The sequence below is a fragment of the Homo sapiens genome, chromosome 10, assembly GCF_000001405.40.
Source record: "Homo sapiens chromosome 10, GRCh38.p14 Primary Assembly".
NCBI classification, from domain to species: domain Eukaryota; kingdom Metazoa; phylum Chordata; class Mammalia; order Primates; family Hominidae; genus Homo; species Homo sapiens.
Genome location: NC_000010.11, coordinates 112,195,250 through 112,211,217, shown reverse-complemented (window position 1 = coordinate 112,211,217; position 15,968 = coordinate 112,195,250). Strand labels below are relative to the sequence as shown.

General features: G+C 41.7%; 1 protein-coding gene across 3 annotated transcripts in view, besides 1 other annotated feature; it reads left to right on the top strand.

Annotated features, from left to right (window-relative positions):
* GPAM (glycerol-3-phosphate acyltransferase, mitochondrial) overlaps positions 1 to 15,968 on the top strand; it is a 77,813-nt gene that overhangs the window by 16,460 nt on the left and 45,385 nt on the right. The window lies entirely within an intron of this gene.
* Positions 8,535 to 8,584: an enhancer, noted in NCBI's record as "active region_4062". NCBI's record gives its function as "activates an Ori minimal core promoter by ATAC-STARR-seq in GM12878 lymphoblastoid cells {active_cell/tissue: GM12878}" and the evidence as "EXISTENCE:reporter gene assay evidence [ECO:0000049][PMID:35858748]".

The window sequence follows — 15,968 nt, the reverse complement described above, 5'->3', positions numbered from 1 at the left end:
CAGGAGGAAGAAGTGACCAGTTTTGTCTTCTAGAATCCCCATTCTCTCAGCACCTCCCTCCTACTTCCCCCAGCTGGATCCCAGTATTCACTCCCCTGGGGTCACTCCTATGGGAAAAACTCCCTAAGCCCCTTTCCAGGAACTACATCCTTCCTGTAGACCCAGTTCTCTGTGTCCTTCCTCTCCAAGCACCTGCACGTCCTGCCTGGGCAGTTAACCCACCTGGGGTGGGATTCTTTGGATGGTGAGATTCTGAGAACAGGAACGCTGCGAGGGCAGCAGGGAGCTGAAGATTTGAGAATAGGCCTAGGTCTGTTCCTTGGCTGCCCATGAGTGCTCCCAATGCTTTCCACTTGACCTCCCCCAGGCTCATGATGTTCCCTCTGCACAGCACACAGTGTCTATTGTGAGCTCTTATTAGTGACATCTCTTACAAATGGCTGGTTAGCATTTTTTCCAGACAGAGCAGAAACTCTGGAGGTGGTGGGGAGGCTAAGTTTGCAGAGGGCGATGAAAGGAAATGCTTAGTTAGCCTCAGGCCCCTGAAAGAATGGAGATATCAGCATCTTCAATTCTCTCCCACCTTTCCTGGGTGGGGTTGAGGGGGGCTGTCCCCTTGACCTCCAGAAGCATATGCATTCTTTCTCCATCTCTTCTTCCCTAACTGGGGTCTCACTCTTGCCTTCAGCTGTCTGTTATCCAATATCCCCCATTGTTTGCTGGTCATGGGGCTTAGTGAGACCTCCCAGGGCATTGGTGTTTTAGCCGACGATGCCTGAAGAGAGCAATAATGGTGGGGAAACTGAGGTAGGCATGAGACTTCAGGGCACACAACTCTTCTCCACATGAATTCAAGATTTGAAAACTCCCTGTTTGATGGTGGAGTCATAGAGAGTTGAATGTTAAGAAAGGGACAGAGATGCTATGCAACAAAACTCTAGATCAAGAACATTTCCAAAGAGAGGTTGAATAGGAAGTTGTACTCCAAGGCAATTACCCCCAACAGCTCGTAAGAGGAAAATGATAGTATATGTGCAATGAAATATTCACTCTCATCCTTCAGTTCCCAGAACTTCAGCCTTGCTATTCCCACCACGTGGTACTGGGTTCTCCAACTGCCACAGCACGTCAGACGTAAAACAGGGACCCTGCGTGTCAGGCTGAGTCAGTGCTAATTAAATCATTGCATCACGGCTCCTGGGCTCTCCAGGCACAGGCAGACAGGAGCCCTTTCCCTACCCTGTCCGCCTTGCCTGGGTGCACTTGCTTAGTGAGCTTTGCATGCAAACTCTACCCATGCCCTGTGGGGCTGGCGGGAAGTGTAGCTGTGTTATGGGCTTCAGCATCCTGCCAGAAATCAGATTGGCCATAAAAACACCCAAAATGAGTCTTGAAAGAAAGTGACATTCATTTCCCTGTGGGCTGGACATTCTGCAGGAAAGGGATGGTTGCCATAGAAATGAACCCTGAAGGCTGCTAGTAACAGTGTCATTCTTTTTTTGAGTCAATTCCAAAAAGTGACTGTGAGGAACAGGGGCCTGGGAAAATTGATAAACCTTGGTACTGAGAGCTCTGCTAGGACTTGGCTATGGGAAAACCAGGGGGACCATGAAGCAGCAGCAGGCAGGAGGCTGGCTTCTCCCCACAATCAGCTCTGTTCCCACTTGGACATCTGCAGGCAATGTGGGAGAGGAGCTGAACTTTTGCTCAGTGGTCCCCCAGGGATGGGGCAGCAGCAATTCTGACTCCCATCAGGCTCCCCTTGGAGCACATTTTAATTATCCTGTGGGCTGATGCTCAGGCTGAGCCCGCTGGGTAAGGTAGGGGTGGGGCCCCTTCCACTACCCAGACAGAACAACACGCACTACTAGATACTAGAAAATGTGCTCTCTAATCATCCGATTGCATGGATCCGTGAAGCAGCACTGTGTATCCCTGGGGCTTCGCCATCACTCCTTCCGTGCCTGACTACACCATCATTCCTGCCCCATGTCTAATTAGCTCCATGAATCAGGGCAACAAGGCATAGTCACTGCTCTCAAGGAACTCACAGCCCAATGGAAGAGACTGGTAATTCAACAGGCAATTTAGTGCAGCATTACAGAGTGGAAAATGTGACCGGACCATAGAGCAGTGCAGTGTATTCACAGTGCAATGTGTTTCTTCTCAACTGTCCCCATCCCCAATCCCTGTCCTTGCCCTGAACACCATCTCCATTCCAGCTGGGTCTCAAATCTGATCCTTCTCCAGCCAACGCCAGTGGTTGTTTAGCATTCATGGCACCCACATTCCAGACAGCAGATAGCTGTTGGCTTATGATGTTTTTTCCAGTCTAGGGTGAATGTATTCAATTTGAGGAACTTCCCTTCGTTTTGAGAGTCTATCCTTCCTGCTTGTTGGGATTTTAAAGCATTACTTCTTTTATCAAATGATGGGGTTAGTTGATTGGCAATTTATGTTTAATTTAATTTTAACATTATGACTGGGCAGAATTAAAAAATTAGTATCCCTTGGTTTACTGCACTGTAATAGCTCAGAGTCCGAGAAGCATTGTTCAAAAAGCTGCTTGTCACCGAGGCTAACATTCATGCCTAAACCCATGCAGGAGCCCTTGGGATATCCTTCTTAGTTTTTGATTTCCCAGCCTGTAGCAGAGTGGCAGAGTTGATCTATTCAAATTCCATTCACTTCCCCAAGACACTTAGCTGGCTATTGCAGCCAAATCCTTAAATAGAAACTACTGTTTTCTTGGCGTCTCAGGCTCCTGTATGTTTAATGCCTCAAGTATCCACTTTCTGGGCCAGAGTCATGAAAATCTAAAGGGGAAACTATCCGTCTCAGAAAGCAGTTGCAATGGAAATAAAAGCCATTAGTACTCAGGGTTATCAGGATGTTTAATTTTTCATTGATATTTCAGGATAAAAGTTGATCTTCAGAGTGGTGTTAATTCAGGTCACCAGCTTCCACTTAGATGCAGCTTAGAGACTGCTGCAAAAGATGCCAGTACGTTGATTTATGGTAGCCGAATCTTGGGGGTTCTCTATCCACGTGCTTCTGTTGGGGCATCTTGGGATCATTGGCTCTGCTGTGATTAAATGAAGTCCCCTGATGCATGTGGTTATCCTGACACTTGAGACATGGTCCAGGGCACTGGAAGTCCCTCACAAGCTTGACAGATACAACAAAATGTCCACCAGGCAAGCCGAATCCCAAGAATATAAGTGGCAAAGTCCAAGTTCTTGGGCTGTAGTTGAATGTTCCTGTGTTAAACATTGTTTAAAATAAGCAGGTCATGCTAGGACCTCAATGCTTACATATTTAGCTGTAAGGAGCATTTTGCTTTACCCATGTTTGCAATGTTGCCTTCTCTCTGTGACAGCAACTGCAAAAGAGACTCTCATGCTTGGGTTGAGTGCTTCTTGAGGTCAAAGATATATCTTGAGCGTGATATTGGTGGACACCTTCTCCCTCTGCCTGTCTCTTGCTTGAGACCCAGCACATCTCCTGGCACATAGAAGGCCAAACATGGTTGTTGGTGACAATGATAATGCGAACAATATACATTTTAGAGAGAATGTTTCTGGCAGTTTCTACCATGACCTAATATGTCTACTTAATTATTATTTTAGCTTGCCTATTTCATTATTAAAATAAATTCATTTGGCTTGATCATTGTGTTTGGTTTACTTCCCTAAGAAAAGGAAGTTTAGGGAGCATGAAGCTGGTGGGCAGCAGGGCCTCTAAGGGGACACTGTGTTCCTTCGGAACCTGTGCTGGCTGCTTATGCAGGGGCAAGAACATTGTAGAAGATTTCAAGCAGTGTTTCTCATCAAGGCTCTGCCAGCTGTGTGGACCTATGCAAGTCTCTTTATCTCCCTGGGTTTGGGTGTCCTTATCTGTAGAATGTGTTAGGTTGGATCAGAATGGGTCAACCTTGGCCCTATAGGTGCTATATATCAGATAAGTCTTTTCGTGTGGGGACTGTCCCGTACATCATAGGAAGTTTAGCAGTGTCCTGTCTCTAAGCACTAGATGCCAGTGGTACCTCTCCCTTCATTTGTGACAACTAAATATATCTCCAGACATTTACAAATATCCCCTGTGGAGCAAAATCACCTCTGGTTGAGAACTACTGGATCAGATGATTTCTACCTGAGTTTGAGAAACCACATTAAGAGTTGTTAATGCATCCTGTTTTATTGAGCTTCTACTCTGTGCTAGGCACTGTATTAGGCTTTGTAGCTTGAATAGATATTCTGTTGAGAAAGGGGCATCTACTTCATGGAAATCTGAATGAGAGCTGGATAAGCTGAATTATTTGCACAGGCATGGAGGTAGAGTGAAGAAGATAGAATCCCTGTTTTGATTCTTTTTTTTTTTTTTTAAATTTTTTTTTTTATTATACTTTAAGTTTTAGGGTACATGTGTACATTGTGCAGGTTAGTTACATATGTATACATGTGCCATGCTGGTGCACTGCACACACTAACGTGTCATCTATCATTAGGTATATCTCCCAATGCTATCCCTCCCCCCTCCCCCGACCCCACCACAGTCCCCAGAGTGTGATATTCCCCTTCCTGTGTCCATGTGATCTCATTGTTCAATTCCCACCTATGAGTGAGAATATGCGGTGTTTGGTTTTTTGTTCTTGCGATAGTTTACTGAGAATGATGGTTTCCAATTTCATCCATGTCCCTACAAAGGACATGAACTTATCATTTTTTATGGCTGCATAGTATTCCATGGTGTATATGTGCCACATTTTCTTAATCCAGTCTATCATTGTTGGACATTTGGGTTGGTTCCAAGTCTTTGCTATTGTGAATAATGCCGCAATAAACATACGTGTGCATGTGTCTTTATAGCAGCATGATTTATAGTCATTTGGGTATATACCCAGTAATGGGATGGCTGGGTCAAATGGTATTTCTAGTTCTAGATCCCTGAGGAATCGTCACACTGACTTCCACAATGGTTGAACTAGTTTACAGTCCCACCAACAGTGTAAAAGTGTTCCTATTTCTCCACATCCTCTCCAGCACCTGTTGTTTCCTGACTTTTTAATGATTGCCATTCTAACTGGTGTGAGATGATATCTCATAGTGGTTTTGATTTGCATTTCTCTGATGGCCAGTGATGATGAGCATTTTTTCATGTGTTTTTTGGCTGCATAAATGTCTTCTTTTGAGAAGTGTCTGTTCATGTCCTTCGCCCACTTTTTGATGGGGTTGTTTGTTTTTTTCTTGTAAATTTGTTTGAGTTCATTGTAGATTCTGGATATTAGCCCTTTGTCAGATGAGTAGGTTGCAAAAATTTTCTCCCATGTTGTAGGTTGCCTGTTCACTCTGATGGTAGTTTCTTTTGCTGTGCAGAAGCTCTTTAGTTTAATTAGATCCCATTTGTCAATTTTGGCTTTTGTTGCCATTGCTTTTGGTGTTTTGGACATGAAGTCCTTGCCCACGCCTATGTCCTGAATGGTAATGCCTAGGTTTTCTTCTAGGGTTTTTATGGTTTTAGGTCTAACGTTTAAATCTTTAATCCATCTTGAATTGATTTTTGTATAAGGTGTAAGGAAGGGATCCAGTTTCAGCTTTCTACATATGGCTAGCCAGTTTTCCCAGCAACATTTATTAAATAGGGAATCCTTTCCCCATTGCTTGTTTTTCTCAGGTTTGTCAAAGATCAGATAGTTGTAGATATGCGGCATTATTTCTGAGGGCTCTGTTCTGTTCCATTGATCTATATCTCTGTTTTGGTACCAGTACCATGCTGTTTTGGTTACTGTAGCCTTGTAGTATAGTTTGAAGTCAGGTAGTGTGATGCCTCCAGCTTTGTTCTTTTGGCTTAGGATTGACTTGGCGATGCGGGCTCTTTTTTGGTTCCATATGAACTTTAAAGTAGTTTTTTCCAATTCTGTGAAGAAAGTCATTGGTAGCTTGATGGGGATGGCATTGAATCTGTAAATTACCTTGGGCAGTATGGCCATTTTCACGATATTGATTCTTCCTACCCATGAGCATGGAATGTTCTTCCATTTGTTTGTGTCCTCTTTTATTTCCTTGAGCAGTGGTTTGTAGTTCTCCTTGAAGAGGTCCTTCACATCCCTTGTAAGTTGGATTCCTAGGTATTTTATTCTCTTTGAAGCAATTGTGAATGGGAGTTCACTCATGATTTGGCTCTCTGTTTGTCTGTTGTTGGTGTATAAGAATGCTTGTGATTTTTGTACATTGATTTTGTATCCTGAGACTTTGCTGAAGTTGCTTATCAGCTTAAGGAGATTTTGGGCTGAGACGATGGGGTTTTCTAGATAAACAATCATGTCGTCTGCAAACAGGGACAATTTGACTTCCTCTTTTCCTAATTGAATACCCTTTATTTCCTTCTCCTGCCTGATTGCCCTGGCCAGAACTTCCAACACTATGTTGAATAGGAGCGGTGAGAGAGGGCATCCCTGTCTTGTGCCAGTTTTCAAAGGGAATGCTTCCAGTTTTTGCCCATTCAGTATGAGAGAAGTTTATTTATTGCATGTCTACTATGATCTGTTGTTTTCCTATAAACAGCCCACAGCCTGTTTTGATTCTTACTAGCCATGTGAGCTTCATTTCCTCATCTGTAAAACATCAGATTTTCACACTGTTGTCAGAACCTAATGCCCAGTTTATAGGAAAACAACAGATCATAGTAGACATGCAATAAATAAACTTCTCTCCCCAACCACCGAGGGAGTCAGATCTGTGAAAATCATTAGCTTTGCCAGTGTTGCTCTATCTTTACAACCTACTCTTCTTCCCCTACCCACTCCCAACCCTCTTCCCACTCAAGCCAGTGCTGATATATCATCTTAAAATCCCCAACTGTCTATTTCAAGAAGAGCCCCCAGATCTCTTGTGTCACCAGACGGTTGAAGTTGGGCCATCCTTGAAAGGGTTGTCTCTTCCTATCAAAAAAAAAAAAAAAAAAGAACAAAGAAAAAATTCTGTAATAACCAGAGATTTGCAGACAGCATTGTTCTATCTGTGTGCTTGAGCAGGACAATGGCAATAGGAATTGAGGACAAGGGACCTTCTACCATGTGCATTAGCAGCATGCTCCTCCTGGAGGCACTGATTAGGCACGGGTTCTTAGTGTCTCAAGACACCATGCTTTGGATATTGACAGCAGCTGCTGTGCCATCTCCTCCACGGAATACACCTTGGTGTTTGGTAGCCTGGCATAGAGAGAGGCCTCATGTCACAGTGAGAAGGAATTCAGGGTGAGGGAGTTTGAAGCTGTACCCTCCTCTCAGTGAGACACTGACTAGGGGCTCCAAGGAACATGAAGACAGAGTAGTTCTTTAAAAAACAGACTCTGCCTCAAATCCCAGCTTTGCCACCTACTCCCTGTGTGACCTTGGGAAACTTAGTTCTTCTTCCTGAACCGCAGCATCATATCTGACAAGTCTGTAATCATAAGGGTCTTTCTCGAGTTGGACAGTTATGAGAATTAAATAACAGAGTGTATGGAGAGCGTGTGGCACAGTCCTGGTAAATACTAAGTGCTCACTAGAAATCCATTATTGTTAGTAATGTGTATCATCTTAAATGGTAACTCTAAACACTAATGAATATAACATGTTAAACAGATAACAAAAGCAGAAGTTTGAGTGGGTGAAAAATTTGAGGTTGACTCATTCTGTTACTGACAAGAAAAAAGGCTTAGAAAGGGGCAGAGTGGGAAAGCCTTAGTAACTAGGACCTCAATGCTGGCTGTTGGCAGAGCAGGGGCAGATTGCCCCTCTCCAGAGTCCCCTTCAGATGCTGGTTCTCCCATGCTGGGGCTGCTTTTCTGCTCAAACATTTATGGCCCATGTTTAGAAAATTACACAAAAATTAAGGAGAATAAGGTGTTAGACCAGTGTGCTATTTGCAGAGGGAATCTTTTTTGGAGGCTTGTTTTTAGAGGGACTCTTTCTTCAGGATAAGAGAGAAATGAATATTTTGTCTAATACTTTCCTAAATACCTAGGGCTACCCCAGAGAAGGGGGTTTCTATATTTCCATCTTAGCTAGATGAAACAGGAAGAGGAGACTGAGTGTTTCACTGCTTCTCTCTCCCTCCCCTCTGCTCCCCCTACCACAGCGCTGAGAGGAGGCCTGTCCTCTACACTCCAGCTCACACTAACCCATTGCTTACACACCGTCAAGCACCACTGAAACTACCTCCTTTGTCCATTGTTCTCCCACCTTCTCAAAGTTCAGCCCCTGACTCCCAGCCTAGACCCAAGGGATGGCGAGTTGATATTTTGCTTCAATGCTGATATTCGGTCTTAAGAACCACTCTGAATTACTAAACAACAGAGCACAAATAATGTTCACCTTTCCAAATGAGATTTTAGATTTCTCTAGGCTGGCTCAGACCCGTGATTCATATCTTGCCTTTTACCCCTGGCCAGTGACTCATAAGTTTGCTTGAGAAGGAAAGACTGAGGTGTCCAGGCTCCATGGTTGAAAGAAGAAGGGTTTTTAACAGAGTGGCTTGGTACTATTTTGGACATGCTTGAGATGAAAATTTATGTAGGTATTTTATGGTGTCAGCATGTAAAATTATGCATAACTACAATGCGAATGGAACCTTGCTTAAAATGTCATAGATTATTTGAATTAAACTCTACTGTAGTCTTAAGTGATGGTTATAATTCAGTCAAAAGGTTTGGAGTCATAATTCCTATTAGAACTCAATTTCCTATTTTGCCTTTTTAAACTTAACAGTTATCTACCTGCTGTCTTACTTATTAAAAGAGGGCTTACCATGAACATAGTACACATTTGAATGTTCTTCTTTTCTTCACCCCCTCATTTTTAAACCCCTTTCTAGAATAGCATATATAGAACAATGACTTAATGGAGAGATTGGTAACTATGGCTCCTGGGCCAAATACTGCTCACTATCTGTTTGATGAATAAAGTTTTATTGGCACACAGCACATCGATTTTCTTATATACTGTCTAAGGCTGCTTTTATGCTACAAAAGGGTTGAGTAGTTGTGACCAGGACCATATAGCCCACAAAGCCTAAAATATTTACTATCTGGCCATTGATTTTTTAAAAAGTGCTGATTTTGACTTAGAGAATGAGTGTTGGAGTCAGATACATCTGGGTTCAAATCAAGTCTTGGTTCCTTGCTAGCTGTGACATTGGGAAAGTTGCATAAGCTCTCTGCAAAACCTAACCTGTACCATGGGAATGATAAATACCTATCTTGGAGGGCTGTTGTGCAAGTTAATTGAAAAACCTACAGCCTTGTGCCTGGCACAGAGTAAATGCTCAATAAATGGTAGCTATGCTGATGATCTTTCATTCTTTTATCCAACAAATATATATTTGGTGCTTTTTCTATGATAGGCCTGGGGACTACGCAGTGACTAAAATGTAGAAAGTTCCTGCTCTTATGGAGCTCACATTCTAATGAGGAAGATAGACAATGGTCAAGAAAAAAAAATCAACAGGTTATTTTCAGAGAGGGTTAAGTGCTATAAATAAAATAAATAGGATGATATAGAAGAAAGTGACAAGGCAAGGGACAGAAAGTTGCTAGCCAAGTTAAGGTCTAAAAATAATAATGAATCAGCCATGCAAATGTCTGCAGAAGGAATGTCCTGGGAGAAGGGACCATAACCACACAGTCTCTGAGCCAGTGATGAGCTGGGGATGGTCCAGGAACAGAGAGATGACCTTGGGGACGAGGGTTGAGTAAGGCAAGGGAGAGTGATAGAGGACCAGGGAGGAGAGGTAGGCAGGGGCAAAACAATGTGAGAGCTTGTAGTTCCTGAAAAGATAATTGGCTCAGAGGCAGGGATGCAAGCTGAGACCATGAAAGAGCAGAAGTGTAAGTGGGACCTTGACCTTATTCTATGATATTTGTTCTAAGTATCATCATCCATCCTCTTTGGTCTCAGGCATTGGCCACTCTTGAACAGAGGAATGAGTAGGGTCCTCGTGAGTCCTGATCAAAGTGGCAGCTCTTGGCTGTGGCAAGCCCATCACACCCTACTTGGGTTCTTCTCCTCACACTGCCCCCTGATTCAGCAGACACATCTTCTGGCCAATGTCACTACCTCTTTAAAATAATTCCTTTTCAGAAGCTTTTACTGCTTCTCCAGGTAGAGCACTTAAGGTGAAAATCAGTTAATGTAATCTCAAAACTCTAATAAATGTCCAGCAACATAAGACCACCAGATAAGCATTTTGTCTCTAGGGTCACTCAGAATTCACAGCTCAGTTCCCATAATTAGCATTTCTTTTATGTCTGATTCATTGAACAGTTGTGGACAGCCCCATAAAAATATTTTACCTGTTTAAGGTTTAAAAGAAGGCCTTAGATATAATCAGTTGCTCAAACTGCCTCCAGAGTTGCTAATAATAGCTACACAGTATTCCACAGTAGCAAAACACTATTGCATACTTGTGGCTCATTTAGAGGTAAAAGTATCCCTTCAGTTTGCTTACCTTTATCCATTTTGAATGACTCCTTCTCTTCCTCTGCTTGTTCTCTTCTTCATTCTCCTTCTTCATCTTCTTCACCATCAGCAAAACTTTTTATTGGAAGTACTTAGCTCACTAATAGTAATTAATATTTCCCTTACAAAGCCGGGCATGGTTGTTCATGCCTGTAATCCCAGCACTTTGGAAGGCCAAGGCAGGAGGATCCCTTGAGCCCAGGAGTTCGAGACCAGCCTGGGCAACATAGTGAGACACTGTCTCTACAAAAAATAAAAACAAAAATTAGCTGAGCCTGGTGGCATGCACCTGTGGTCCCAGCTACTCGAGAGGCTGAAGTGGGATGATAGCTTGAGATGGGGAAGTCAAGGTTGCAGTGAGCCAAGATTGTGCCACTGCACTCCAATCTCGGCAACAGTGAGACTCTGTCTCAAAAACGATCAACAGTATAGTTGTTGAAGGAAAACTATTCTCTCTCTCTCTCTCTCTCTCTCTATATATATATATATATACATATAGTGTGGACTGAAATATATATATATATATATATATATATATATATATATATATATTTCCTTTACAATGTGTAAATATGTGTTCCTGTCTCCACTTACAATGTGTAAATATGTACTCCTGTCTCCAGTTGCTTTAACATTGTTAAAAGAACAAGATCCAAGTGTGGCTGTCTTCCAAGCCATGCTTTCATACAGTGATTCTTTTTTGATTTAGTTGACAACAATTGTATATATTTATGGTGTACAATGTGATGTTTTGATATGTATACTTATATGGTTTGGCTGTGTCCCCACCCAAATCTCACCTTGAATTGTAATAATCCCCACGTGTCAAGTGCAGGGCCAGGTGGAGATAATTGAATCATGGGGGGCGGTTCCCCCATACTGTTCCCATGGTAGGGAATAAGTCTCATGAGATCTGATAGTTTTATAAATGGGAGTTCCCCTGCACAAGCTCTCTTGCCTGCTGCCACGTAAGATGTGACTTTGCTCCTCATTTACCTTCCATCATGATTGTGAGGCCTCCCCAGCCATGTGGAACTGTGAATCAATTAAGCCTCTTTCCTTTATAAATTACCTTTATCAGCAGCGTGAGAACAGACTAACACATGTACATTGTGGAATGATTAAATCGAGCTAATTAACATATTCACCACCTCACATACTTAATTTTTTGTGGTGGGAATATTTAAAATCTATTCTCTTAACAATTTGCAAGTATACATTATTATTAGCTATAGTCACTATGCTGTACAAGAGATCTCCAGGAACTTACTCCTCCTAACGGAAACTTTCTACCCTTTGACCAACATCTCATTTCCCATCTCCTCCTGCAGCTGCTGATAACCACCATTCTACTCTCTGCTTCTTTGAGTTCAACATTTCTGTATCCCACATATAAGTGAGATTATGCATATTTGTCTGTCTGTGCCTGGCTTATTTCACTTAATATAATAATGCCCTCCAGGTGGCTGGGCGCAGTGGCTTATGCCTGTAATTCTGGCACTTTGGAAGGCCGAGGCAGGCGGATTGCCTGAGCTCAGGAGTTTGAGACCAGCCTGGGCAACATGGTGAAACCCCATCTCTACTAAAATACACACACACACACACACACACACACACACACACACACACATTAGCCAGGCGTGGCGGCGTGTGTCTGTAGTCCCAGCTACTCGGGAGGCTGAGGCAGGAGAATTGCTTGAACCCAGGAGGCGGAGGATGCAGTGAGCCGAGATGGTGCCACTGCACTCCAGCCTGGCGACAGAGCAAGACTCCGTCTCAAAACAAAAAAAAAAACAAAACAACAACAACAAAATAAAAATAATGTCCTCTAGGTTTATCCATGTCATTGCAAATGACAGGATTTTCTTCTTTTTTCAAGGCTGAAGAGTAGTCCGTTGTGTATATACACCATACTTTCTTTACCCACTCTTCCATCAACGGACACATAGGTTGCTTTAATATCTTGGCTATTGTGAATAATGCTGCAATGAACATGGGAGTACAAATCTCTCTTTAATACAGCAATTTCAATTCGTTTGGATATGCATCCAGAAGTGGGCTTGCTGAATCATATAGTAGCTCTATTTTAAATTTTTTGAGGAACCACCCCATACTGTTTTCCATAATAGCTGTACTGCAAACACTGATTCTTAATCTGGGGTCCATGGATGACCTTGGAGGGAGGTTATGAAACTGCTGAAATGGAATGTAATTTTTTACATGTACTTTTTTTCTGGGAAAGAGCCTGGAGTTTCATCAGATAATCGAACTGTTCCCAGATGCCAAAAAGTGAGGAACTACTGCTTTAAAGACTTTACTGACTCAATCAGTAGTATAGTTGTTAAAGGAAAACTATGCACGTTTATACCTGGAAACGAAAAACATGCTGAAGTTGAATCTGGAGAACGCTGTGATTCTGAAATACACCTTTTACCAGCTATGATCTGTGAAAGCAAGTGGGACTGATATCTGGATCCAATGGAACCTTCAGACTTTGAGGGGACTGGACATTTTCCTAGGAACTGCAAACATTACCTAGTACCCACTCTGTGCCAGGTGTTGTCTCAGTGCCTTACATATTTTAACTCTTAATCCTTTTAGTACTATAAAGTAGGTACTATTATTAGCTTTGTTTCATGGATAAGGAAAATGAGGCACAGAGAGATAAAAACCATAAATTGAGTTTACTTTAAACATTCCAAGACCCTTCACAATTGTGGACAGTGTAATTTTGTGATTTGTAATTAATGGTTCACAATAATTATGATTTTGACATGTGTAAATGGCAGCCATGTTGTAATCTTGAAGTACATCCCAATTAATAGTAGGATTCCTATACATGCCACCTCTGTTTTTGTGAATAAGAATGCCATGGAATACTATGCAGCCATAAAAAAGGATGAGTTCATGTCCTTTGTAGGGACATGGATGAAATTGGAAATCATCATTCTCAGTAAACTATCGCAAGAACAAAAAACCAAACACCGCATATTCTCACTCATAGGTGGGAATTGAACAATGAGATCACATGGACACAGGAAGGGGAATATCACACTCTGGGGACTGTTGTGGGGTGGGGGGAGGGTGGAGGGATAGCATTGGGAGATATACCTAATGCTAGATGATGAGTTAGTGGGTGCAGCGCACCAGCATGGCACATGTATACATATGTAACTAACCTGCACAATGTGCACATGTACCCTAAAACTTAAAGTATAATAAAAAAATAAATAAAAAATAAATCAGTATATGCACTACTGAAAAAAAAAAAAAAAAAGAATGCCTTACCAGGTCACATACAGAGGAGAGCAAGTTAACTGCTTTGCTTAATTAGAATTTGGCTAAGAGTCACTATGGCTTATAAAATAAGTTTACTAACCAAGTAAGCAATTTTATTTTTGTAACTATTAGCACAATCAAAAAAATTCAGACTGTTTACCTAAGGCATGCCACAACATTGTGGAGCTTAAAGTCAATGAAACTTTATCTCTGGGAGGTTAAAATTTCATTCATTTAGGATTTGATCAATTGATGGAGCTTTAGATATAATTCATTCTTTACCTAGATTATATTTATTCAACAGTTAATGAGCAGGTGACCTAGAAATTTAAATGAACTATTCTCTAAAAACATCACTTATAAATAAGCTAGAGAAAAACCAACATTATTGATCTTGATTTATTTAACCCATTGATTACCTATAGCAGTTACTAGGAATTCTACAATTTATGTATGTGTGCTTAATTTACATATGTTCCAATGCTTTATGGAGGTGAAGTAGGCCCAGAAGTGAGAGCCTCTGGAAAAATAACTATGATGTGATTGATAAAGGGGGAAGGTGTTTTGTTACCTTGTAAGCAGAATCAGATGTGCAAAAGGAATGGGGTGAGGGAAGTGTTGGTCTCTGTGATCCATCCAACCAGTAGTAAAACAAAATGGGGCTAGAAGAAGAAATTGCACCTTGTGATCCTGGATTATGAAAAGCCTATTCTCTAATATCTCACTTGCATTTTGGAGATCATCCTTGTAATAAACATCAAATATTGTATGGAGTAAGATGATGATGACTGCTAGTTAGAAAAGATGTGGTTAAAACCATAACCAATCCTGCTATGCTTACTTAGGTTTTGCTTTATATAAGGTAATTCAGATAATTGGAAACTAGGTTCATAACACTCTTTACTTTGGAGGCCTTTTCTTTTGGGAAATCTGTAAGTTAAAAGCCAAAGACAGTTACACAGAGTATGTTTAGAACACCCAAGAGAATAAATTTTCCAAAGGAAAATATTTGAGCTTTTATATGTCAAATTTCTTTAGAAGTGTTCTAAAAATTCTAAATTTCTTTAGAAGTATTCTAAAAATTAGCCTTAGTTGAACTTAGATTGATCTTCCTTCCGATTATACTTAATGAGTGAGGTTCTACCTTACTTTGAACTCATTAGAAAAAGAATAATCTAATTGCAAAGTAGTTCAGCTTCTCCTCTTCATGAAAATTCTTTCCTATTGACAAAGACTGATTCTGAGGGAGAAACAATAAAAATAAGTCTCTAGCCATGCCTAGTTTTTCCCTTTCAAGCCTTTTCAAATTCCTTCTTTCAAGAGTATTGGGCATGTGTGTGTTTCCTCCCAGGCTCTGCTTGGCCTTGTTCTAGATTGTGGCATTCTGTTCTGTGTAGACCACCCCCTACACTGGAGATCAGGGCCCCTAGTTTTCCTTGTAGTCACATGTTTTCTCTACTCTGACCCAGGGAGTGGGGTGAGGGAGAGAAGATGGGAACTCTGCTGTCTACCTTAGATGCATGCCTGCTCTAAGAGCTACAAAGTCACAAGCCCCCAAACTCTGTGGTTCCCACATCGCTCCTTGAATGTTTCTATTCCTAAGGCTATCCTTGTTCAGGACTCTTGATAGTTATAACAGCCATGCACCCTGTCCTTTCATAAGTAGCTAATCATGTCTTGTACTTAGACATTCAACAAATAGATATTGAGCATCTGCTTTAGCAAGGTACCGTCAGGTACTAGGAATGTAGGGGAAAAGTCAAGAATGCCATTTAAGAGAGAGAGAGGGGCAGATATTAAATGATTAATTCTACAATTAAGTATTTAGTTATAATTATGGTCATTCCCATGGGGAAGAAACTTAAGAAAGGGGCCTGCCTTAGTCTGAAGGGTCCACAAAAATTTTCATGAGGCGGTGAGACTTGAGCTGTGTTATGAAGTATGAGTCAGAGAAGAGATGTGGCAGGGACCACTGCAGGCAGAGCAAATGCCAGGGAAGGGCAGAGCCTGGCTTTCGTGGGGAAGTGAAAGAAAGCCAGGGTGGCTGGAGTCAGAGAGCGAAAGAGTACGTGGACGGAGATGGGGGGTGGTGAGATTAGCAAGGGCGGACTGAGCTAGGTATTTAACACATGTTACAGGCTTTAGTTTTTGTTCTAAAATCTGTAAGGAATATATGGAAGGATTTTAGTCA